Raw genomic sequence first — 26,242 nt, 5'->3', positions numbered from 1 at the left:
GAGAGCATCAGGATAAACAGCTAATGAATACAGGTCTTAATACCTAGGTGATAGGTTAATAGGTATAGCAAAACACCATGACACATGTTTACCTATGTAACAAACCTGCATGTCCTGCACATGTATCCTGGAACTTAAAATAAAATTAAAATTTTTAAAAGATTTGATTTTGTTGTACTAGGATTCTTTAAAATGTAATATACTGCAGAAAATCCATAATATCTCTAGTACTCAAAGATGAACTAGATAAAGTAATGGATCTGGGAAAGGAAGAGAGAGGATGGGGCAAGAGACAAATGGACAGCAGTTACCATTCAGTGTGATAAACTCTTCAATACACACTCATTAAGAGTACTACTCAGAGTATTTTCTCCTTTTATCTATTTTTTTGCTTATGAAGAATGTACTTTTATTTTTTAAAGCAATTTCTCATCCTGATCTTTTCTTTTCCTATTGCCACCACACCACTTCAGACTTTCATTATATTATACTGGTTTCTCCATGTCAGACTTCTCATCCTTTTACTTACCCCTTCTGCCAAATTAGTTTTTCAAAGTACAATTCTTATGACTTGAAGACATTATTTAATGATCCTTTACCAATTATTACATGTTATTATACCTACAAAATAAAGGATTAAAAACTGAACAGAGTATTTACTGAGAGTCTGGAAGAAACCAAATAGTTTGTTCATCTCTCAGTAAACAGATATTATATTATTATTTCCACTTTACAGATTAGGTAGCAAAAATTAAGTGTAGGTAATAAGTGGTGAGCCAACTAGGAAGTGGTGGACTGTAGATTTGAACTCATTTTTGTCACCATTATGCCATCACGTTCTAGTCTCTTACTGTGGCTATCTGAGTCAACAGGTACTTTTTAGTTAGACACAAACTTTGTTACAGCCAACTACTGTCCAGACAGACAAAAACAAAAAGCATTACTCTGTCCACTTCTACTTTACTGTACAAATCATTCCCTCTACCTAGACTTCTACACTGTAATAGTTAAAATTTTAATAATTTGTGCATCTTAAATGCCACTGCCATCTTTCTATTAAATCTTTCTCTTACAGCCCCAAATGCATGTGACTACTTCTTCCTCTCAATTCCTACAGTACTGACAATTTATTGATTGGGTAATGTTATTTGTTATAGATTTCCTGAGTATTTGCTCTGTGCCAGGCATTGTGATAGGTTCTGGGAAATAAAAAGAAATATATACTATCATTGGCTTTGAAAAGCTATTAGTTATACCACATTAGAGCACTCATCACAGCCTGGCTGGCATTATAGTTACCACTTTAAGAATCTCATTGGCCCTTTCAGGTTGTAAGAAATATGTAAGGCAGATAGATCTTGCTTTACTTATCTGCACATCCCCGTGAACATCTATAATAATGCGTAGCACATAGTGGGGACTTAAAAAATACTTGCTAAAGATTGAATGATGACTGAATGATACATGATTCACATGTTTGGAATTCTATCTTCTAACTACTTCATAATCCCCTAGACTAAGTTGGGAATCCCTTCCCTACACTCTTCCTAGTCCTCCCATAATGCTCCATGTTTATCTCTATTAGAGTTAAACATCAACGTTAAACATGGAAACACAGAAATATAGAGTTAAACATAATGAGGAAACTAAGGACCAGAAAGGTGATGTTGTTATGCTAGAGGCCACGCTGCTTTCAACAAAGTGGAAACTAACGCCAAGACAGAATAGAATGGATTTTATCCATTATATCATGTTGTCTCTCATGACTCAACAGACAGTTCAGCACTTCAATAAACACAAAGAAAGTTTATTAGTTTACCCAAATCCCATCTATAAAGAATTTCAATGTGCATTTTAATGTTATTTAGAACATAATGGGGATACTTAATTTGCTTTTTAATTTCATCATTAAATACAACTCATTGTAAGTTAAATAGTTACATTTGGAAATAAAACCCTTTCACCAAAATATGTCGTGTACCATTCATATTCTACATGCCCCATCTCACTTTTGCATGTATTAGAAAAAGATTTTAATAATTTATGTATATGCTAAGTCCAGAAACAGAAAAAGGTATTAAGCAGAATAAAGAGCTTATATAAAGCTACTTATATTCCCTTAGGAACAGGGCTTGCTAAAGACAGTCTAACAAAAATTTACAAATATTCTTGTGAGATTAACTCTGAAGATTATAATTTTCATAAATGTAGTGGTATATTTTGACTGTATATCTTAATGGCAATAGATGTTTAAACTTATATTCATAAGAGTTAAGGTAACTGAAGTAAAATGTTTTAAAAATTGAAATGAATAATTTCTTAACTGAAAATTAAACTAGAAGAAAAATTTTAACTGCCACAAGAGTCTCAAAATCCGTTATTATTCAAAAAGAAAATCAATTAAAGTTTCATGCGCTGCTGTTTATAATTCTAATATCTTTGAAATCCTCAATATGTAAAGTTTATCTGAAACTATGAATGCATCGAATGATATACAAGTGCTTCTAAATAATGTTCCAAGTAAGATTTGATGTATAGAATTAGACAAAAGTGAACAGTGATAAATTACCAACATTTAAAGGTCTTACCTATTAATATCCTGTTCTTCTTGATGCCACTTTTTACTTCTTCATCAATCAAATCAGTAAGCACTTGACACATGACATCAATTGATTCAAGGTGTTCTGGGCAGTCATTGGTTATTTTAAATCTGTCAAACCATACATTGGAGATTCCTCCTTTCATAGGAGTATATGATCTGTTTAACAACCGCCCCCCCCCAAAAAAAAAGAAAGGAAAAGGGAATATGAAAATGGATGCTTTAATTACCAAAATAATAGTGTTTTGAATAAATGATTTCAATTTCTTCTAAGTTTTATAAGTTAAATGCATATTAAAACTACTCTCATGTATATTGTATTAACTATCCCATACTTGTATCTAATCCATTAAAATCTACTAATGCCAGTTCATATCCTCTTTACCTACTCCCTCCATCTTTTAAGAGGGAGAACAGTTACAGTACCAGTGAATCTTAATCCATTCATTGTATATTCATGCTCTGGGATACTATGTTGGTTAAAAAAAATACACACACATACGTGCACAGGCACACACACCATCAAGATATTCCAAACTGTAATGGAGTAAAGGGGGTCCTGTATTCAAGTATTATGTTGGTAGATGTAAATGAAAGGGGAACAAAAAAAAACCTTAGAGATTTCTGTGGGCAAACACAGAGAGGGATGGGGGCTATATTAGATAAACACAGAGAACAAATGTTTTCCAAATATGAAAAACGGAAGAGTTGCACAGAAGATAATCCTTATCCCTTGGCATGCCCTGCTTTCTCCTCACGTAATGATGAGAAACAGAGTGGCAAAGAAAACATAGCCAGTGACAAAAGTGCCTATAGTAATTTGAAAGAACTCTAAACCAATGACAAGTAATATTTCCCTTTGATGAACCCAGACACAGGATTCTTTCCACACCAATACCTCCTCTACTTTGCCATCTCAAATTTAGCTGTATACTGTCACCCACCAAAGTTAGTAAAGTAAAAGCATGAAATGTGCAGCTAAATTGAAAAACAAAAATAGACGGCTAAAAGACAACAGGTGAGACCTGAACATGCTTTTGTACTTCTTCTCTAGTGAAAAACCCAAGTAGAACCTCAGCATATTCAAGGAGCTAGAAATATTCAATTGTCATTGGCCTTGGGATGCATACAATCTTTAGGACCAGTGGGTGGTGCTGGAAGGGAACAAAATTACACCATTTTTCAATATTGATCATACCACCCCAAAATAAATGGACATCCACTTAAGGGGCTTGAACGTCAAGGTTATATTTGGAAAGTTTCTCAGAGAAACTAAAAAAAAAACCTGGAAACAAGAAAGTTGAACTGACTAAAATTTAACAAAAATTCATATACGGGGATCTTTTATTTACTCAAATAGAATCATATAAACATTACTTTGTAACACATTTTCTAAAATTTAAATGGATATGATGAATACCTCTGAAAGTCAGTACATAAAAACTTAAATGTTTTCCCTAAGTTTATGCAGATACATAAAATTTTTTAAATATGAGATTATATATATATACATTGTTTAGATGTTTTTCATGTCAATCTTATTCATTTTTTACCCATCTCTACATTCCTCCTCTTCTCTCCAACTCCCTCACACATCTTGTCCTTTACATTCGGTAAACTGTGTAAATGATCTGAAATATATCCTTCAATGTTATTCTTATAAATTAAAATATGCATATTTACAGGCTATTTCTTGGCACACTATTTCTTTTCAAAAATAAAGTAGTCTATCTGATTCTATTATGTGCATCATGCTTTTTTCCTTCAACAATATCTCATGGAAATCCTTTCATCAGTTACAGTTCTAACTTACCCTTTTAATGGCTATATTATATCCTATGATAAGCATATTCTGCAATTTAATCAGCCATTCCCCTAATAATGGGAATTAATTTGGTACCCAGCTTTTAGCCACTAAGAAATATGCTTCATTAAACATATGCATACGTGTTTTTATCTACTGGAACTTTTATTCCTATGGAAAAGAGTCAAGAAACAGGTTGGATTAAAAGGTACAATTTTTGTCTTAATAGATGTCTCAAAGTTGCTTCCATAAAAGTTGTAAAAATTTACCTTTCTACAGGAAAGGTAGGAAAATATCCTTTTGCCCACAGCAGTAATAGCAGTAGGTGCTGACATACATTAAAATGTTACCATTTAAGAGTATCAATTGAAGTTTTAAAACCAACTTTATTGAGGTATAATTTACATATATAAACTATATTGAACTACACACATTTTAGGTGTATAGTTCAATTACTTTTTACAATGCAACCACCATCTCCACAATGATACAGAACATTCCTTTTCCTTGGAAAATTCCATCATGCCCCTTCACGAGCAACTCCCGTAACCTTCCCAAGCAACTACTGAGTGAGACTATCAACATTGATTTCTTTTGCCTGTTCTAAAACTCCACATAAGTGGAATTGCTGACTGATGTCATTTGCTATTATTTTTTCCTATTGTCATTTCAATTTTTTTCTTGTTTAAAAGAGTACTTTGTCTATTATTGACAAATATTTGTTGCATATATTTCAGGTATTTTCTTCCAAGTCTATTTTGAATATTGATATTACGTTATTATGTACTTAAGGGTTTTTTTTTTTTTTTTTTTTACTGGACAAAAGACTCTACATTTGATATAATGTCTTTTTAAAAAAAAATTTAAATTTCTGGGTCTCTAGATTTGCTTAAGAAGCTCCTGCCAATCCATACATTTTTTATATATAGTAGCCCAGATTTTCTTTTAAGACTTTTGTTTTCATTTTTACACCTAAGCCTTGAATTTTGGGGGAATTTCATACATGGAGTAACCTAAGGATTCAAATTCATTTTATCCCATATGATAGTCAATTGTGCTTGTGCTATTAAAAGAAGGAGAGAGAAAGGGAGGAAAGGAGGAAGACACCCTTCTCAGCAAACAGTGAAATTTTATCTTTGCCATATATTTTATAGTTCTGCATTATCTAGTCTCTCTAACCCTGATTTCTGTAAGACATATGCTATATATAATGAACTGACTTCCCTCTAATACATCTAGAATGGTGCTCGTTCTATATCATACATGCAGTGGGCGGGGGAACAGTCACTCAAATAATTTTCTATGTCTTGTGATTCAGCTGAAGAGCTTTAGTTGAGAAAGGCTCTATTTTGTTCCACTAATCTCTTTATCTATTAAGTTAGTTTCTATTTAGTATCTATTAAGTTAATTATTAAGTTAGTATATAACGTTAATCATATTATAGTGGTTTTAGAGCATATTTTGAAGTTGTGTAAGGTAAGTTCCCCTCTCCTATCATTACTCTAGTCTGTGTTTTCATACTTGTCCTAGCTATTCTCAGGCATCTATTGTTCTTGATTATCCAATAAATTTATCAAAAAATTTAGTAAACTTGAAACTATTTTCAAATAATTATCCTTAAAAAATCCTTTTGGAATTCTAATTAATATTGCATTATTGTCTGAGAATTACATTTTATGACATAAACCTATGAGGAGGGCAGATTTTTGCAGACTGAGCTTTTCCTTCATTGCTCTTTATCCAGGCTTTCAACTGCTGCAGAAAAGATAAAATCTTGCACCACCTCTATACTAGGACTCCAATAAGCATAAATTATCTCACAACCCCATATGCCTTCTGACCCCAGAAGCTGTGTGGCTCTAGAAAGGTAGATAAATTAGAATCAGAAGGGGAGAGAAGGCAGAAAGCATTCAAACCTTCCTCCTCCCAGAATCCCTTCTCAAAACTAGCTTCTTAACTAGTTTTGAGTTACTCATTTTCATTACTCTGAAAATGAGAGTAGGTGCTTTCCAAATAGTCATTGTCAGACAAAATGAAACCTCAAATTGTAGTCAAACTGTCACTAAAATCACAGTGAAGTTCTAAATCAAAATATCAAAAATACAACACTCACTTTAAAATTCAAATGAGCCTATTACCCTTCTGAATTGTTCTACTTCCCTTTTCATTTTACTCTGCTATTTCTGTGTTTATTTGTCTGTCTAAATACTTAAATAAGGATGATATCATAGGCTAAAATGTGAATCATTCTGGGAACTCAGCCATTAATGGAAAAAAGTGGCATTCACTTAACTTTTTTCTTTGACAATGCCTTAATTAGAGATAGATGCTCAGCAGAAGTAGAATCCCAATGTAAGTATGTTACTAATGTGGTAGCTAAGAAAATTAAAATTCTGTTCAAATGGAGTAATTGAGAAAATTTAACGAGACAAAAATAATTTAGAACTTTCTTGCTAAGAAAGCATAAACAAGAATGTATAAATCTCCTAAAATGTTAGAATAACATTTAAATAAAATATAAAAGTTTGTTTTTTAAACAGCTAAAAACTATCACATATGTTATACTCATTCACCTTCTTCCTCAAATAAATCACTTTATTAGCTGGTATAAAACTCCTCAGACATTACCACAATAAATAAATATGTTTGGCAAAGAACATCTGTGTGGTTCCTAAGTTAATCAATCAACCAACCCATTACACATTGGTAAAATATTAAGCTAGAATAAAATGTCCAAGGTTAAAAAAAAAAAAAAGTTGACATTCAGCTTGATACCAAGTTGTTTTTGATCTGTGTTGCCTTAAAGTCATAAAATCGAAAGTTCATTCATAACCTTTAAGTTAACAAATTGGCACCAGTCTTCCTCTTTATCCTCATTTCATACCACTTCTCTCTCCCACCCTTCACTAGGTTCCAGTCACATTTGTCACTTCCTTTTCTTCAAATAGTACGAGCTTATTATTAGTTGAGTGGCTTTGCATCTGATATCCCCACTACTTAGAGGGCTCTTTGCAACATTTCTGCATGGTGGGCTCCGACTGTTCATTTAGGTCTCAGCTCAAGTGTCACCTTCTCAGGGGAGCTTCTTTGACTCTCCAACTGAAAGTATACCTCCCTTTTACCCTGCAACACACACATATACTCTCTATCCCCAGTCTTAATACCATTTATCACTATTTGAAATTATTACATTTAATTTCCCTTTTATTTTCTGTCTCTACATGAGCTCATTGAGAGCAGGGACTTCATTCTTTCCACAGATACATACCCAGTGCTAAGAACAAAGCCTGACATAGAATAGATGCTAAATATTTGCTGAATAAATTTCAGTAATCATTTGTGCCACTTGGGAATAATTTGTGCCAGCCAGAAATAACAATGTCTAAAATTATTTTATTTTTGCTCCAAATATATTTTGACTTTAACTCTTATAAAATCTACACTGTGATTTGTAGAAAACAGTCCATTTTTGTTTCTTTTTTAAAAAATCATATCTAAGAAAACTTTTCCATACTAGTACCTATTTAAACATACCTAATACTTACCAAAGAAGTACATTATTTCTTCAAAATAGCTGTTTTTAGTAGGGTTCCTTACTAGCATACTTGTAGTACAGATATACTGTTATCAGGAGAGGGCTCTCCTACTATCATGCTTCAGATAGGAATTCTAAGTGATGGAGTAAAGAGGAATTCATGGTTTACTATGCCTAAATAAAAAGTGCCTAGTTTATTTTAGAATACATATTTACTGAAAAATACAAACATGGACTTTGTGTGGAAAAACAGTGAATCTAAAAGTATAGGCACTATGCAAATCTTATTACTTTTAGAATTTTTTAAAACACCAAAAGAAACTATATTATCATATAAATCATAAATGGCTTGTTAAAAATTATTTTTAAATGGAAATTCTAATAATAAACACAAACTAAGAAAATCTCTAATTGTAAATATAGCTAAAGCATGTTATAGAAATAAAAATCTTTATTGGGCACTTCATTTAAAGAGTCCAAATTACCACAGTGAAAAAAAAAAGCAGTATTTTCCATCTAAATCAACACAGCAAACTAATTGCTGACTTTTACTGACTATGCCCCTACCTTAGCTGATTTAAAACATCTATTAAATACAGTTGAGGAAAAGGGATACCTTATAATCAAAATGGTAATTCACAATTTAATCAAAACACACTTATATGCTGTAATAGACCACAACTGAGTATATACAATAAACTATTGTTCTCCTCTTAAGCTGTTTAAAATATGGTTGACTGTTGAAAACAAAAATTATAACCTTGTTTGATACAGTTTTCAATGTATGCAGACAAAATACATATGAAAACTATAACATACACAAGATGGGGATAAAGGGACCTATATAGTTACAAGGAAAAAAAAAACAACAAAGAACTCTAAGTAGGTAAAAAAGCTTTGCTATGTATATCATAATCCCTATGGCAATCAGAAAAAAAATAAAGTAAAATGGTGTATTAAAAAACGAATAATTCAATAGAAAGTGTGAAAGGGAAACAGAGGAATGAAAAGCAGTAGACCTAAATTCAAGCATATTAATTGTTACATTAAATGTAAATTGCTTAAACAAATCACTTAGAAGACAAATTATCAGTTTGGTTAAAGATGAAAACAAAGCCCAACTACGTGTTGTCTATAAGAAATCCACTTTAAATACAATGATATAGGTAGGTTAAAAGCAAAAGAATGGAAAAAGACATACCATACAGCTCTAATCAAAAGAAAGTAAAAGGATGAAAAATGAAGTGCCATGTAAACAATAAGCATAGGGAAGCTGAGATATACTATATTTTTATTAAACACAGTACACTTCAGAGTATTACCACAAATTAAAAAGGAACATTTTATAGATAAAAGTAGCCATAAAAAAGACAATATTACTACATGAATATGCACCTAATAATATAGCCTAAAAATACATAAAGAGAAAACTGACAGAACTAAAGGGAGAAACAGACCAATCTACAATCATAGCTAGAGATTTTAATACCCATCCCTTGGCAACTAATAGAACAACTTAGAAAAATAATCACTAAGCATATACAGAATTTGTGTAATGCTTTCAAATACCTTGAACCATTAACATTTATAGAACGTGACACGCAGAAATGCACAGTAACAGTCACCAAGATAGACCATATGCAAAGCCATAAAAAGGTCCCAATGAATATCAAAAGAAGAAAATCATACAGGATATTTTCTCTAATAATAATGAAATGAAACTAGATATCAACAGTAATAAGAATATCTAGAATAGCTCCAAATATCTGGAAACAACATGTTTCTAAATAACTCATGGGTTATTTAGGACCCAGAACTTATGGGTTATTTAGGTCCCATGGGGTTATATAGGTCCCAGAACTAAATTTTCCATAACTGGCCAGAAAAATACCTTCCATCCCACATGCCCTTCTTACAGTGTAACTCTGTCTGACACCTCATTAAGAAACAGAAGTCTGTGTTTTCTCTGCTTGATTCTAAGCAGTCTTTTAACTAATGAGGGAAGAGTACTATGTTACTGTTAACACTAAGTCTTTAGGTCTGGTTCTCTTTAGACACTTTTGCTCTTGGAATCCAGCCTCCATGCTGCCAAGATACTACATGGTGAGGTCTCACATAGGTGTTACGGTAATAAGACCAAAGGCAGGTCCCAGTTAATATCCAGCATTATGCCATATATGTGAGTGAGCCTTCAGATGATTCCAGTTCCTGGCAATCACACGACGAGTCATTACCAATCTTCAAGTTTTCCCATAGGAGAGGCCCCAGATCAAGTCATAACCACCATCCCCCTTCTGAATTCTTAGCCCACAAAATTTGTGAACATAACAAAACTATTATTATTTGGGGTGGTCTGTTATACAAGTACAGCAATGGGACCATTTAGATTTGAAAACATTTCAACATAAATAAAAAGAAAGAAAAAAATTAGTGGAACTTAGCTACAGTAATGATTAGTGAGAAATGTATAGATTTAATGTAAATAGAAGAAAATAAGAAACATAAGAATAAATATAAATGAAATAGAAAGCAAATAAGAGAGAAAATAAGAAAGCCAAAGCTGGTTCTATAAAAGATTAATACAATTGGTAACTTCTTGGTAAGATGAACCACGAAAAAAAAGAGAAAATATACAAATTATTACCAGCAATGAAATAAAAGTTATCAACAACAAATCATAAAAGCATTAAAAGGAAATATCATGAACATCTTTTTGTCAATAAATTTGACAAATCAGAAAAAAGATACAAATTTCATGAGAAATACAAATTATCAAAACTGGCCTAAAAATAAATATAAAATCTGAATATCCTGGTTCTATGAAAGAAATTGAATTCATTATCAAAACCTTCATAAAAGGAAATCTCAGGTCCAGGTAATTTCAATAGTGAATTTTATCAAATATTTAAGGAAGAAATAACATAAACTCAGACACAGAGAAGGGAATCCTTCCCAATGCTTTTAAGTGACTAGCATAACCCCGATGATAACGTTTTTCAAAGGCATTAAAGAAAATCACAGAACAATATTCCTCATGAACACAGACATAAAATTCTTTACCAAAGTATTAGCAAAACAAATTTAGATACATATAAAAAGGATAATACATTACAAAAGGGTTTATCCCAGGAATGTAAGGTTGGTTTAAGACTTGGAAATCCATTAATGTAATTCACTGTGTTAACAAAATGAAAGATAAAAACCATGACTATTTCAAAGGACACAGAAAAGCATTTGATAAATTCACAAAGAAACCTCTCAGCTAATTAGGCAAAGAAATGTCCTCAATATAAAAAAAAGGCATATATACAAAAAACCCTAGAACTAACATCACACTTAACAGTGAAATACTGAACACTTCCCCTCTAAGATTACACAGGAAGGAAGTACTCACTTCTATTTAACATTGTACTGGAAGTTCAAACAAGTCCAAAAAAGCAAGACAATGAAATAAAATGCACACACGAAATTCATAAGGAATATACTAAGTAAGTACTAGAAATAAGTGAATTTAGAAAGATAGAAGGATACAAGGACATAATAAAAAACTAAAATTTATTTCTCTGTACTAGCAACAATTTGAAAATTAAGTTTTTTAACATTCCATTTACAATAACATGAAGAAACAGAATACTTGTAGATAAATTTAGCAAAAGACTTCTACACTAAAAACTCCGAATCACTTCTGAGAGAAATTAATAAAGACCTAAGTAAATGGTGAGACATACCATGTGTATGTATTAGAAGGCATCTATTTTCTCTAAATCAAACTAGATTCCATGCAATTTCAATCAAAATCCAAACAGGTGTTTTGTAAAATTGAAGAGCAGGTTCTAAAATTTACACGTAAATGCAAGTAACATAGAATGAGCAAAACTTACACCACTTGGTTTCAAAATTTTCTATACAGCTGTGATAATTACAACAATTTTGTACTACTATAAGATTAGACCAATGGAATAGAGTCTAGATAAGAATTCAAATTATGCTCACAAAAAGACGTGTAACAAGAATATTTATGGTAGCATTATTCATTAGATCTCAAAACTGGAAATGATCCAAACGTGCAACAACAGTAGATAAATAAACAAACTGTGTTATATTTATATAATACCTACTTAGAATTTTAAAAATTGAACTATTGATACACACATATAGATGAATCCCAAAAATACCAATTTGAATAAAAGAAGCCAGACACAAGATTCCATTAAGTCACTCATTAAGTGACTCAATTTAACTGAAATTCAAGAACAAGCCAAACTATGCTACAGTAATAGATATGCAAACAATAATACATGAGATGGGAGTTGACTTGAAAGAAGCACAAGGAAACTTTCTGGGGTGATGAGAATATTCTCCAACTTAATTGAGGTAAATAGGTGCATAATTTTACCAAAATTCTCTGTACTATAATTTATCAAAATTAACTATGCACATACAATTTCTGTATTTCACTGTAAATTTTAAAGAAACATGTTAGAACTTATGTCCACAAGATGTCATTAAGAATGTGAAAATGCAAACCACAAAGAGAAGGTATTTGTATTCATATATCCAACAACAATAATAAACTGTATCCAAAAAACTACAGAACTCCAACAAATCAATAGAAAAAGATGACCAAATAAAAGAATGGGCAAATAATCTGAGTGGGCATTTCTTTTGAGGATATTTAAATGCTCAATAAGCACATAAAACAGTGTGCAACATCATTAGTATTAAAGAAATATTAATAAAAATCACAATAGGATACCATTACACATCTACTGGTTTGGCTAAAATTAAAAAGACAATGGAAAGTGTTCAGGAGGATGTGAGACAAATGGGAATCTTGAATACTGCTGGTGAGGCTGTCAATTGTTACAGCCTCTCTGGAAATATGCTTGGCATAGTGTACCAAAGTTAATAAAGCTTAACCTGCTTTTATACATTTCATTTTCACTCATTTCTATAAATACTGGCTTGGGTAAAGCCACATAATAGTAAGCATCACTTCCATGTAACAAGAGATTAGATACATTCTAGGACAAAACTGGCCAACTAACAGGCAGGTAAACCCTGAATATCATTTACATGCCATCAATGGAATGATTTTACAAGCCAAGTGATATCTTCAATATACCTTATAGGAATAACATAGTCAATGAAATATCCATAGTACAGAAAAACTTATGGGTTTACAAGTGGTGAAAGAAAAAAATCAGGAGAGAGAATAAATACCAGAAATGTGGACAATATCAGAAAGTATGTAGCAACATGTTAAAGCATGAAACCTTGATAAATTTTTAAAAAGGTTATTAAAATTCATTTTTATCCTGTACCAATCACATTAAAAAGAGTGAGAGTTAAGGAAGGCACGTATCTATCACATGCCTCCTTTTGACGTCACCGGAAAGGTAGCAAGCAAGGTAGATGACACCAGAATCTCTCTTATTAGCAGCACAAGAAACATTGCCATAATAGATGGAAGGTAGCAACTATCCTTAAAACCGCAAATGAAGCCATATTATGCTACAAAAGCAACGACAATAAATCTATGCCCAAACTGCTTGCCTAAACAGGGTAATGTGTTAGGAACACCAGTCAGAAGTCTTAAAACAGCAAAGTACACCATGAATGCCAGAGCATTCTAATAAAATACTATCAAACAGCATTCTGAAGTCTGGAAACCAGTTAAAAGCTACAGGCTTAATGATACCGCAGTGCTCCTCAATTTGAGACTCATTAGTTAAAACTGGCCCATAATCTGGTGCTCACTCAATCTATTGCAGGGTCAAGTCTTAGGACAAGTAATTGCAACCCCTTATGAACAACAATTCTTAGGTTATTTACCACAACAAAATACACTTTTTAAAACCTCACATAGGCATAAACTATTACACAATTAAAATATTAGTATTATATATAAATACCCACAATTACTCATTCCTATTACACTATTTTAAATAACAACAACAAGCAAATACTGCAAGATATTTATTCAATCTTCACTAAACATCTATTTGTCAGGTTCTATGCTAAGTGCTTAGAGATACAGTATCCCTCAGTGTCTGTAGGGATACAGAAGTAAGTATCATATAAACTGCTCTAGAAAATTAGTCCAGCATAAGGTAGGAAAAAAATCAGCTAATTATAATATACTAAGTATGATATCATCTCTCTTAACTGACCTCCACTGAATTGCCTCATAGTATTAACCAAAGCCATGTATTCCTATATCTAACGCCCATGGAAGACCAAATGGTCCAGATCAAGAGGCTTCATTCTTGCACACCCTCACACTTTTGCTCCCACAAACTGAGCCTTATGCTTTTTATGCTTATTAAGAGTCAACTATGTTTGTTCTCAAATTTGTTTATGCCAGTTTCATTTTCTATTGCAATTAAATAATTTAATATTTAAAGTAATGTGTTGGAAATCTTCTATGTTTTGCTACTAATAAGTGAAAACTTGAGCAAACCAATAAGTAAAAATGATGACTTGATCTAGAACAGTGGCTCCCAATCTACTGTATATGGGAACTCCTCTTTAAGTTCTAAAACTAAGCTGTAGAAAATGGCAGCCCCTAACCACATAAGGTTATGAAGCACGTAAATGTAGCCAGGGCAACTTGAGGAACCTAATTTTTACTACTATTTAATTTCAGTGTAATTATTTAGCATCAGAAGTAAGATGTGTCGTACATGTAAAACATGCCAATTTTCAAAAATTTAGTGTAAAAAATATAAAATATCACTTTAATAATTTTATACCGATTACATGTTGAATATTTTGAATATACTGGGTTAAATAAAATATATTATTAAAATCAATCTTACGTATTTCTTCCTTTTTATAATGTGGTATCAAGAACATTTAAATTTATATGTAGCTCATATTACATTTCTATTGGTGAGTATGGTCTAAAACGTTCGATGATCTGTTCAAATAGCTATTGGTTATAAAACTGTGTAACAAAAAGTTACCATGAAGCTGGTCCAATGATTTCATATTTTACTAAATCACAACAGCACCCACAAATAATGCTTAGTGCACATGGAGATTTTTGGATTTTCTGAAATAACTCTGGCCTAAAGTTTGAGAAATACTGCCTAGAATTCCTATCACAATTGGTAATGACATGAAATTCTTAAGATAAAAAATATTAATTCCTAGAATAAGGTTTTCAGTGGTCTTATGATTAATCAGACAATTGTATTTATATTTAGGTAGAAATGAACTTATCTTTCATCCCTGCAGAAATACCACTATGTTTCTTCCTTCCAACTTCAACTATCCTAAAAATCAGTAACAAGAAGCTTTTTTGACATTTTCAAAGACATGCAATTTATAGCACAAAAATAACCACTGGTGATTGGGTCTTTTAACTAGATTACCAAACTTTTAAACTCTATTAAAATTACATTTAAATAATAACTCCTTTGAGTCTTCAGTCTTACATTATCATTTTGTTCTCCCTTTTTCAATTCTATCAATTAAAGTAAGTAAATTCTTATTAGTACATATAAAAACGTCCTTGAAGTTCTGGTTTTATTTCTCCTTAATACTAAGTTAATGAAAATATAAAGCAAGGCATTTGCATAGTATGCCTGATAAGAAAAAAATCAAGAACAGGCCAGGTGCAGTGCCTCATGCCTGTAATTCCAGCACTTTTGGGAGGCCGCGGTGAGTGGATCACCTCAGGTCAACAGTTCCAGACCAGCCTAGCCAACATGGCAAAACCTTGTCTTTAAAATTAGCTGGGCGTGGTGTCACATGCCTGTATTCTCAGCTAGGCAGGAGGCTGAGGCAGGAGAATCCTTTGAACTTGGGAGGCAAAGGCTGCTGTGGGCCAAGACTGCACCACTGCACTCCAGCCTAGGCAACAGAGTGAGACTCTGTCTGGAAAAAATAAAAAAAGAAGAAGAAAAAGAAACAAAAAAAAATCAAGAACAGATTATGAGAAAAATCAGATTGGGGCGTAGCTCCACACATCATTTCACTTAACCAAAAAAAAATCCCAATCCCTGATTTACGGCATGTGTTCCGAATAAAAGACTATGCAGATGTTAATTTAATATTTACAAAGAGTAGTTTGACCTCAAAACTATAGCAGTTTTATTACTGTGAATTTTTTGCACACACCTACAGGTTATATAACCTAAATATTTATTAAGTAGTCAATTCTATCTTCCTATTCTGGTTTACTGATTAAAAAAGCATAACATTGTTTCTTGATAATCCTTTTAAATGTGGAAAGAATGCCATAAAACCCTTTCCCAGAGATTATGAATTCTGGCTTAACTAAATTATTAGAAAGATTATACTTGTTGGAGTTATTAAGTTTCCTTTTGGGGTGAATGTAGGGAAGAAGTATGAAAGTTGAGCAATCTGCAGGGCAAGAGGAAGCAGAGTTACATAAGCCATGCTTGGGACACAGTTTAAATTCAGAGCTTTAGGGAATGCTTTACAGAAAGGGAATAAATTACTCACCTGGCAAAACTTGGTCCAACAGTGTAACTGCAATAAAGAATACATTCTGGGGACAAAGTACTCTAATTTAAAGTATGTTAAATACAAAATTAAGCTTAAAGAACACCTAGCTGGCACATCTCTCTATATATATTTTATGCCACAGAGTTATATTGACAAGTGAGATAAATTACTGCATACCTGGGAGGAGCTGTTGGATAAATAATTTTTATGTGTTGGAATGTTAAATCTTGATTTAAAACCTGCTTGATCCACATTCTTAATCCTTGTCCAGAATCACCTGATGAATCAAAAAATCTAGATTAAAATAAATATTTTAGTAATACAATGCATTTCAAAGCAGTCTAAAACTTTTATGTCACACAGAGGATGGAATAAAGGATTTAAAAAAGCTCCATACATCATAATAACCATATAGAAACTGACTTACTAATATGAATTAACTAACTAGGTCTCAATAACTAGCAATAATTTTGATTATTTTACTCCTGGCTTCACCATTGATTACTCTGAAGATCTTGTTTAAGCTTAAGTTTTAAGTTACCTAATTTGTTTAGTGGGTAGTACAGGAATAAATAAATAAATTGATTTTTCTAAAAAAAATTTTATTTCTGTATTTATATGTGACTTTTAATAGTCATTTCTTATCATATTCTTAATAGTAATAAATTCCTAAAGTGACTGTTAAACTTCTGTAGTTAGAAGAACCTAATTTTCTTGGTTAAAAAAAGTCCAAAATGTGTGTTCAGTGTAATTTTATTTTAACTTGAAAAAATCATAATTTAATTTTGACAACATGTTTACATGACCTAAAAGAAGAATTATCTACTCCAAAGCTGGTAAGTAATAAAAAGCCATATAAATATTAATGTATATGTATTTACAGAAAAAAATGGAAGGAAATATAAGTCCATCTTATGGAGTCCTGAGGAGGAAATTAAGGTCACAACTTTAATTTTTTAATCAATTAACTCATTAAGGTATCAGTTCAAAAACTGCCTATTGAATCCCTGTTAATGTGTCAAGCACTGTGTTCACTGCTAGAGAGGCAATGATGGTGGGGTGAGGGAGGAATAGAGTCCCTATTCTCATGGAGTGTGTAGCATATTGTGAAAAACAGAAATTAGTCAAAAAATCACACAAATAAATGTGAAAGGCAAATGTACCTGCTTCAAAAATGAGACACTTGGTGTTGCAAATATTTATTTTATTCACAACTGACTGGGTTTATGGAGTTCAACAATAAATGCACTAGCCTATAAACTCTGCAAGAGGAAGTTTATGATGTATTTTATCTGAGTTATTTGTTCACATAGTGCCTAGAACAGGACTGACAAAAACTGGGTATCCAAATATAGTTGCTGAATGGTTTGAACTAAAGTCTACAGGATGGTGAGAAGTGCAGGGCAGAAGAAAAAAGTATCCCAGGGCGAGGAAAGGGCAGGTGCCAGGATTCTGGATAAGAGGGAGCAGTATGACATGTAAGAACTGAAAAGCAGAGAATGAAAAGAGCAGTGTCTATAAAATGAGACCAGAGAAACTGTAGGAACGTGACAAATCTGTTCATGAAGAAGTCATGAATATTTCTGACAGAAAGGTTGGCATGATTCTAAAGGATCAATCTGGAAGCTGTGTCAAGACAGAATTGAAAGAGAGCAAAAGTAGATGTACAGAGATCAGTTAGGAAACTACTGTTCATGCTTAGACTACAGCGATGATGTAGATAGAAACAGATACTAGAGAAATTTAGGTGGTAAAATTAATAGAGATTGGCAACGGATTTGTTATAAAGGGTCAACAGTAAAAGGTCTCATGGATGACTAACAGGCTTTTGGCCGGAGTAACTGGGTGAACAATACTAGACACCTGCCTAGACAGGAAACATAAGCAACAGGCATACACAGGTTGAGTGTGAGGTGCCTCTTTGTAATGCATACAAGGTCTTATACCATGGGTTGATTGAGCAACTATGGACAGCTAGAGGGGAGGACAAAATCCAGCCTAGGGTCCTTAAGGAGGATAAGCTAAGAATGAGTTTTACATTATTAAAGACTCCTTTCTCAAAAAGAGAGAGAAGGGAAAACTATGGGGAAGAGACCTTACATGGCCCACAAAAGCTAAAATGCTTACCTGACTTTTTGCAGAAAGTTTGCCAACCCCTGCCCTACACTACCTGGATGCCAGTACCCTCTTGGATATCCCTTCCTATTCTTCTCACTCCAGACACACTAGCCTTACTGCTGTTCCTTGAACATGTCAAGGACCCTACCCTGGAGCCTCCGACTTGGCTTTAAAGCCAAGTCTAAGTCTAGCTGTGAAGTTTCATCTTCTGTCATCTTTGCAGTGAGGCATAACCTGACTACTTTATTTAAAATTGTAACACTGTTCCAACTTCTCATCCATGGAAGAATCCCCTTATCCTGCTTTCCTTGTTTCCATAAAACTTACTACCTTCTACTATAGTATTTATTTACTTCATTAGAACATAAGCTCCATGAGAGCAGTGATTTGTTTTTTTCATTGCTGTATGATCAGAGCACAGAACAGTGCCTTACACATGGAGGCTGTGATATATTTCTTGAATGAATGGATTCATGAATGAATGTCTATCAGGCAGTTAGATGAACTTGTCTAGAGCTCAAAAATAGAATCTATGAATCTCCACAGAAATTCAAAGGTTCTATTTTTACCTATACACCAGTGACACAAATGGGTATCTCTAGGAGACTTCTGTGATTAGCCTAGGGAGAAAAATGTAGAGTGAAAAGACCTTGGACCAAATTTAGAGAAACCCCATCATTAATGGCCAGGTAGAGGAGGATGAGTCTGCAAAAGAAACCAGAAGGAGCAAATCAAGACAGAAAAAGAACCAGGAGAGTTTTTTGAGAAGAAAGCTGAATGCAGATGACAGTTCACGTAAGAGGACGACTGAAAATGTCCATTACATTGAGCGACATAGAGCCTGAGCTTACTGGTGACTTTACCAAGAAGCTACTCAGTCAACTTGCTGAGCCTTACCACACAAGAAGAAAGCCATAAACAAGACACATGGTTTGGGCTTTGTGGACCTACTAGCTTAGTGTGGAATACAGACATTACATTACATAATTACAAGTATGATGACTACCACTGAAAGAAGAACCAGTGTCCTATGGGAGCAAATAAGAGTGAATTAATCTGATCTGAGAGACTGAACAAAACTCATTAACCTATCATTTATTTTTATCATCTTAAAAGAAGGTCCGTCTTTAGTACTTTATTAATAGAAAAGGCTCAAATTAAGTTGGCTACATATAATTTACACTCCCATATGTTCTTCTATGGCTGCTATCTCCTAGAAGAAAATCTCAAGCTTTTAAGGTTTTTTATTTGAAAACACAAAATCTGTCTTTAACAACATTTTTTCAGCCTCGAAGAGTAAGAATGCAGCTGCAAAACAACATCTATCCATTCCCAATGTCCACTTTTTAAAAAGCTAGTACTTTATTCCATAGTAAAAGTGTTAAAACTGGTTAACAGTATGGCAAAACTGAGTGTGATAAAACAGAATTGGTTTGCCCATATTCTAGTTAAGCAGAAACCAAACATCTCCTATAACATAACCACATACATTAAAGTTGAATGTAAAATCACTAGCTGCTAAAGACCTACTGGATGATAAAGACCTACTCCCAACGATAAAGATGATAAAGACCTACTCCCAATAAGGTTTTATTTACTTCAGTGGAGATTTAAATATATAGGAATCACATTATACTCGCATACTTGGCAGAATTCTTTGAATAAATTCTTGGTTCAAAGTACAAAGGAAAAAATACATACATACATGACTCTGAATTTTAGAGACATACCCTTACAGGTTATAAAAATGTAATCTGAAATTCAAAAAAAGGATAATTATTTTAAGCAAAGAGGTCCAGGGGAAAAAAGAACATAGTCTAGGAGTTCTTCCTAAAGATAATGAGAATTGATTATGAGAAAGGGTACAGTGTTGGGGAATTTCTGGGTACTTATAAATGAACACTCTTGGAGCCCTAAATAGTACTACCAGTCTCCTAGTTATTAAGTACCGCTGTCATCTTACACACGTCACCTTCTAAATATATGCCGTCTTTCCCTTTAAACACTATTGGACCTCTTCTTCCCTATCTCCAAAACAATATATCCTAGTTCAAACTTTTTCACCTTACCCCACCAAAGCCCTGAGTTTGAGGTCGGAGAGCTTTGGGTTCTAATCCCAAATCCGCCACTACTCACAGTAACAGCTAAGAGACCTTGGCCAAGCTGCTGAACCTGTCTGGCCTCATTTTCAAAATAAAGAGAATACCTCCCACAATTGCCCTTTTCCAGGTCTCTGCCCAGTACCTTTCCAATTCCCTTCCAATCACCGTCCCATTTAAGCCTACCCGTCTCGGCTCAAAGACCACTTTCTTCGAAAAGTCTGACAAGCTTTTCATCTTCCAAATGCCTTAATAATGCCTAACCACATTTTTTTCTCTTACAATTCACTTGGCAGGAAACCATGCACCGTCTTGTGATCTTCCATGCACTGCTGACTCAAACTAATTGGATTGTTTTTGTTTTTAACTTTAGGTAGGCCCCCTGAGGACACCGGCTGCATCTCATTTCTTTAAAAAACATTTCCTGAGAGCTTACCCTGGGCCAAGCACTGGGGGTGCAAAGGTTGACACAAGGGCCCTTACTCTCATAATCCAGTGGGAAGTTCACAATCCAGTGGGGAAGACAGACAAAAGTGATTACAGATGAGTGTTAAGTAACGATACAGCATTAAGCACACGTTACTAAGGGCAGGTAGTGGAAGATGCCTGTCCCTGGGGGTCCTGCCCCTGTAGTCTATCTTGGAAGTTTAATGACACAGGCGGGAAAGGGAAAGGAAGGAAAGAGAAGCAGCAAAAAGGAAAGTGAGAGAAAGCACTCCAGCCATGGCACAGTGGCTTACAGAAAAGAGATAATCTGTAAACAGTATCTAAGTTAACTGTGAATCTCAATTGTCTACATTAGTATGGGAGCCTGGAAAAAGCAATGGGCAATTACGACTGAAAAATCACTAGTAGCTGATAATGAAAAACACTAAATAATTTCCCTCTAGCAGAAGACTTACCTTACTAACTTGCTCTGTTTAAACTTGGGGCGAGGAATGGGGAGGTGTGTTGTGGGGATGGAGGGCTGGCTGAGCGGCGGGACACAAGGCCCCAAAGCGAGGGTGGTGGACCAGTGACCGCCCGATAGAAAGAGGAAGACTAACGGGGGAGGCTGGGGGCAGGTGGCGCTGCCCGTGCATCTACAGCCGGGGCTGGCGACGGGGGAGCCACCCACTGGGCCCTATTTGGGCCCGGCGACACCTCCACTTGGGCAATACTGGGGTAACCGAGGGGAGGATGTTTCCCGAGCTGTAGAAAACCAGGACGTAAAATTGAAATCCACCTGAGCCATGCAGGAAGATCAGAGAGGCGCTATGCCTCCCTGCCGGCGACACGATACAGCGCTGCAGAACCGACCCCGACGCAGCCGCCATCGCTGATGCCACTGCCAGTCATGCGGTTCCGCCCCTGCGTTGCCGCGCGGGGCCGCGCACGCAAATACGCAGGCACGCGCGGGAGCACGCCCGGGAGCGCGCATGCGCAGCGCTGCTGGCCCGCTCTCTGAGGAGCTTTCAATACTTTGGGGTCAAGTTTGAGGCAGTTGTAACTGTACTGAGTTTAGTTTTGCTAATAATGGTATTCTACGTGTGTCAGCCTCGTGTGGACTTCTGTAATGACTAATGGATATGTTTATATCCTGAGCATTTGCTGTAGGAATTTTAAATGCAATCCCAAAACTCAAGATTACCTTATTTGGAGAAATATTCGTGTTACTATGTTTAAAATTTAATAGAACCATATTTTACCTTTCACTTTGGGACTCGCACAGGATGTTTGCAGCTCTTGATATACAGGGTAAGCGAAGCATATAATAATAAGTTCTCTTCGTGTCTCTTATTTTTAATAAATAGTTTACAAAGCAAATCTAATTTAATGAGATTCTGCTTTATATACCCATTAGAATGGCTCTTATCAAAAAAACAGAAAATAAGTATTAGTAAAGATGTGTAGAAATTAGAAACCTTGTGCATAGCTGATCAGAATGTAAAATGATGTTGCGGCAATAGAAATAATTTGGTGGCTCCTCAACAAGTTAAACATTGACTTAGCATAGGTACTAGCAGTTCCACTTCTAGGTATATACCCAAAAGAGATGAAAGCAGGGACTCAAACAAATACTTGTACTTCAGTGTTCTGTAGCAGCATTATTCACAAGTACCAAAAAGTGGAAACAACTCAAATGTTCATCTACAGATGGAGAGATAAACCAAATGTGCTATGTACATATTGGAATGGAATATTATTCAGCCTGTAAAAAGAATGTGATTCGGATACATGCTACAACATGGATGAACCTTGAAAACATTATGCCGAGTGAAGCCAGACACAAAAGGACAAATAATTGTATGATTCCACTTACATGAGATATCTAGAATTGGCAAATGCATAGGGACAGAAAGTGAAATTAGAGGTTACCAGGGACTAAGGGAAGAGGGAGTTGGGAGGTTGTTGTTTAATGAGTACAAGAGTTTCTGCTTAGATAGTGAAACATTTTTAAAAATGGACAGTGATGATGGTTGTACAACAGTGTTAATAACTGCCAGTGAACTATACACCTAGTAAATTTTATGTGTATTTTACCATAATTTTAAAAATACTAAGAAATGGAATTATTTCCTGTATAAAGTCCAAAACATAGGTATCTTTTAATACTGAAGGCAGTGGCCCCAGCAGGTTGCTCTTGCCTCATGTAAAATTCAACAAAATAACCCAGTAAAAGCTTAAGTACCATTAAACACTGGCCTTCCATTCATTGTAGTCTGCATTACATTTTAGCAATTACAACTTACCTTTTATTTGTTCCAGGTAATCACCCTACTTACAGGTAAGTAAACTGTTTACTATCAACATTAGTTGCCAAAATCAGCTCTAAGCTATCATGGTGTTATATTAATAACAATACCATCAACAAGAATGGTCCTACATGCCATTAGTTAACCAAATCAAAAAGAAATTCTGAGTCATTTCTCCAAAGCCCATAGATCTGCAGCAGAGAGTTGTATAAGTGAAGTCCCTGAGGAGGACAAACTAGGGTAGGCTGAGCTCTGATAGCCAATTCTTAAAAGAAAAACCTCTGTCTTTTGACCTGCCTTCCCCGTATGAGTTCTAGATAACCTTCCCTAGCCAGGTGAGAAGAGGGCAGTGCTACTAGGAAAGACCACTTGGAGATATACAGGGAAGGCTTTAAGTTCTACTCTTAGAACTCCATTTACTACCTGAAAATCTTACTGTACACCACCCCACGCTTTTGAGACAGCAAAAAATCAGAATATAATTATTTAAGAGTAATGATTATTAATAATAATAAGCAACTAATATTCATGGGATTCAGTAGGTGCCAAAAACTGTCATAAATTAATTCCAATAAAACTCAGTACTATTACTATCTGCTTTTGTCAATGAGGCTCAAAGAGGTAAGGAACCTGGCTCAAAGTCATAGTGCCAGTCAATTGTAGAACCTGGATTCACATGCTGGGCTTGACTCCAGAGCATAGGTTCTTAACTATTACCCACATTTACACATGAGTGCACAGAAATGAAGCAAGGGCATGTCGCAACTCTTATTTCAAAAACAAAAGTCTGGAATTTGTATTGTGGCCCTTTAGAGTCTCTATTTATTAGGTGTTCCTGTGCTTCTTTAGTTTTTCCCAAGTCTACTGCTATTAGTTCCTGATTTGTTCTTCCAACTATTCTACCAGTTTAAACAGGTAGATAAGCAGGTGGTAAATACCAGAAGCAACCTTCTGTATTCTGAATTTCACTGAGAACTCCAGCCTTCCCAGATTCATTATTAGAATGAGCCAGATTCTTCCACACTTAACCAAAGTGCTATTTTATTTCCAGTGATTTAAATGCTTAGCTATTGTTGCTATTCCTTTCATCTGTATTTGTTTATAGGACAAGCAAAGGTTTTAGATTACCTATATTTAGAGATCCCATCTGGTAGGCAAACTGTTGAACAAAAATGTTTTGTTCCTTTCATGTTACTGTACTACTTTGAAATGTAATTAAGTTTCAAGATGACTATTTGCTTTTGTGGTGGATCTTTTGCCCTATTGAAGGTGGGGGAATATTATCACTGGAAGATTCCTATTCATACATTCTTTTACTCTTTATATAGCTCCTAATTATTTTTTGTTGCTACTCATTTGCTTTCTGCCAATCTATATGCACCTCCTTTTGGTAACTTCAGTTCTAAACTTAAAAAAGCAAGTAAACAAAATAAAAGAAAAAGAAAAAGTTCTCCTGTTTTGCAGGGTTTCAATATCAATTAGGATCTAACGATATAAATGGCAAAGTCGGAGTTTAGTTTACTGTTCTTCAGTGTGTTGAGAAATGCTTTAGGCCACACTTAGTTTTCAAAACAGAAAAGCAATTGAAAGTTCAGCCATTAAGATTAGTATATTTTGCCTGGGTGCAGTGGCTTACTGTAATCCCAGCACTTTGGGAGGCCAAGGCAGGCGGTTCACTTCAGGCCAGGAGTTTAAGACCAGCCTGGCCAACATGGCGAAACCCCATCTGTACTAAAAATACAAAAAAACTTAGCCGAGCATCATGGCGCATGCCTGTAATCCCAGCTACTCCGGTGGCTGAGACACAATAATTGATTGAACCCCGAGGCAGAGGTTGCAGTGAGCCAAGATCTCACCACTGAACTCCAGCCTGGGTGACAGAGCAAGACTCTGTCTCAAAAAAGAAACAAAAACAATGAACAAGATTAGTATACTTGGTATTTTCAAATGATAACAGTTAAATGAAGTTGCATTTGTCACGCAGACAGTACACAGTTTCCCGTTTGTTGTTTGGCTCATTCTTAAGCATCAAACCATATCCTCTCTATTGGTTAGTTTTCATCTGTTGCATCATTCAGAGAGAGAGAAACACACACACACACACACACACACACACACACACACATATATATATAAACAATATATACACATTGCACAAAATGCTTCAGCTTCAGCTTTAGGTAATTTAACATTTTGTCATAGATAAATAAAATGATTTCTTTTATGCATTCCCCCTGTCCATTCATGAAAGAAAAACTAGAAACAAACTTAAAGGTCCTGAATTCTTACAAAACAGCAAAACTATACTTTTTATAAATGAGATTATAAACTTTAACATAATCATTGCCTCAGTTCTGGGGACCTTAATCTTTTTCAGTCCAGTCTTTCCAGATACAGATATGGGTCATTCCTCTACTTTACCTTACTACTAGATGTGCATGGTCTCATTCTCTTTTTAGAGCAGATGGGTCACGTGGGGCATTGTGAGATGGACTGAGATGGCATTGGCAGTAGGGGTAGGGGAATACATGAGCTCCTCAAACACAGACCAAACGCAGCCTTGGAGAATGGATAGTGATTACTCTGCTGGATTATTAACAGTCAACATGATACACACCAAAGCAGTATGTAGGCCCTAGAGGAGGACAGTGAACTTTCCTCCCTTGGGTGCAGGCTACAGGGTCAGTGTTTATGCTTGGACACCAGAACAATGTTCTTTGCATTGCCATTTGTCTCCTCTTTTCTGGGAAATGGGTCTTCTTCCATTTGGACACCTCTTATGGCCAGTTCTCAAATTCCTAAGTTACCCTCTGGAAACACTTCTTATTCAACTTCCACTCAGTGCTTATATGAGTCTGAGGAATCCCTCCTGCA

General features: G+C 34.6%; 1 protein-coding gene and 1 long non-coding RNA gene across 30 annotated transcripts in view, besides 3 other annotated features; one reads left to right on the top strand and one right to left on the bottom strand.

The window, feature by feature from the left end:
• The window catches only part of LYPLAL1 (lysophospholipase like 1), a 271,619-nt gene extending 249,657 nt beyond the window's left edge, over positions 1 to 21,962 (bottom strand). For 11 of the 29 annotated variants that reach the window (XR_007078562.1, XR_001736967.3, XR_007078564.1 and 8 more), the window contains exons 1-3: positions 21,859 to 21,962; positions 16,594 to 16,693; positions 2,589 to 2,758 (exon numbers count right to left, since the gene is read on the bottom strand). Coding sequence is in view for 10 of the 29 variants with exons in the window: in XM_047445134.1 (XP_047301090.1) it covers positions 2,589 to 2,758; positions 16,594 to 16,693; positions 21,859 to 21,949 (361 nt within the window). In the remaining 19 variants the exon portion in view is untranslated. Of the gene's footprint in view, positions 1 to 2,588; positions 2,759 to 16,413; positions 16,441 to 16,593; positions 16,694 to 20,819; positions 20,880 to 21,535 lie in introns of those variants that run through there. The other 18 variants (XR_007078557.1, XR_001736964.3, XR_007078558.1 and 15 more) reach the window with 6 other exon arrangements.
• Positions 17,988 to 18,277: an enhancer, noted in NCBI's record as "active region_2545". NCBI's record gives its function as "activates an Ori minimal core promoter by ATAC-STARR-seq in GM12878 lymphoblastoid cells {active_cell/tissue: GM12878}" and the evidence as "EXISTENCE:reporter gene assay evidence [ECO:0000049][PMID:35858748]".
• Positions 21,672 to 22,001: an enhancer, noted in NCBI's record as "active region_2544". NCBI's record gives its function as "activates an Ori minimal core promoter by ATAC-STARR-seq in GM12878 lymphoblastoid cells {active_cell/tissue: GM12878}" and the evidence as "EXISTENCE:reporter gene assay evidence [ECO:0000049][PMID:35858748]".
• Positions 22,052 to 26,242, top strand: part of LYPLAL1-DT (LYPLAL1 divergent transcript) — a 92,816-nt gene continuing 88,625 nt past the window's right edge. Inside the window, exon 1 of the long non-coding RNA NR_038845.1 lies at positions 22,052 to 22,370. This is a non-coding gene — a long non-coding RNA (LYPLAL1 divergent transcript). The remainder of the gene's footprint in view (positions 22,371 to 26,242) is intronic.
• Positions 22,082 to 22,131: an enhancer, noted in NCBI's record as "active region_2543". NCBI's record gives its function as "activates an Ori minimal core promoter by ATAC-STARR-seq in GM12878 lymphoblastoid cells {active_cell/tissue: GM12878}" and the evidence as "EXISTENCE:reporter gene assay evidence [ECO:0000049][PMID:35858748]".

This window comes from Homo sapiens, chromosome 1, assembly GCF_000001405.40.
Source record: "Homo sapiens chromosome 1, GRCh38.p14 Primary Assembly".
NCBI classification, from domain to species: Eukaryota; Metazoa; Chordata; class Mammalia; order Primates; family Hominidae; genus Homo; species Homo sapiens.
This window is presented reverse-complemented; position numbering and strand designations above follow the sequence as displayed.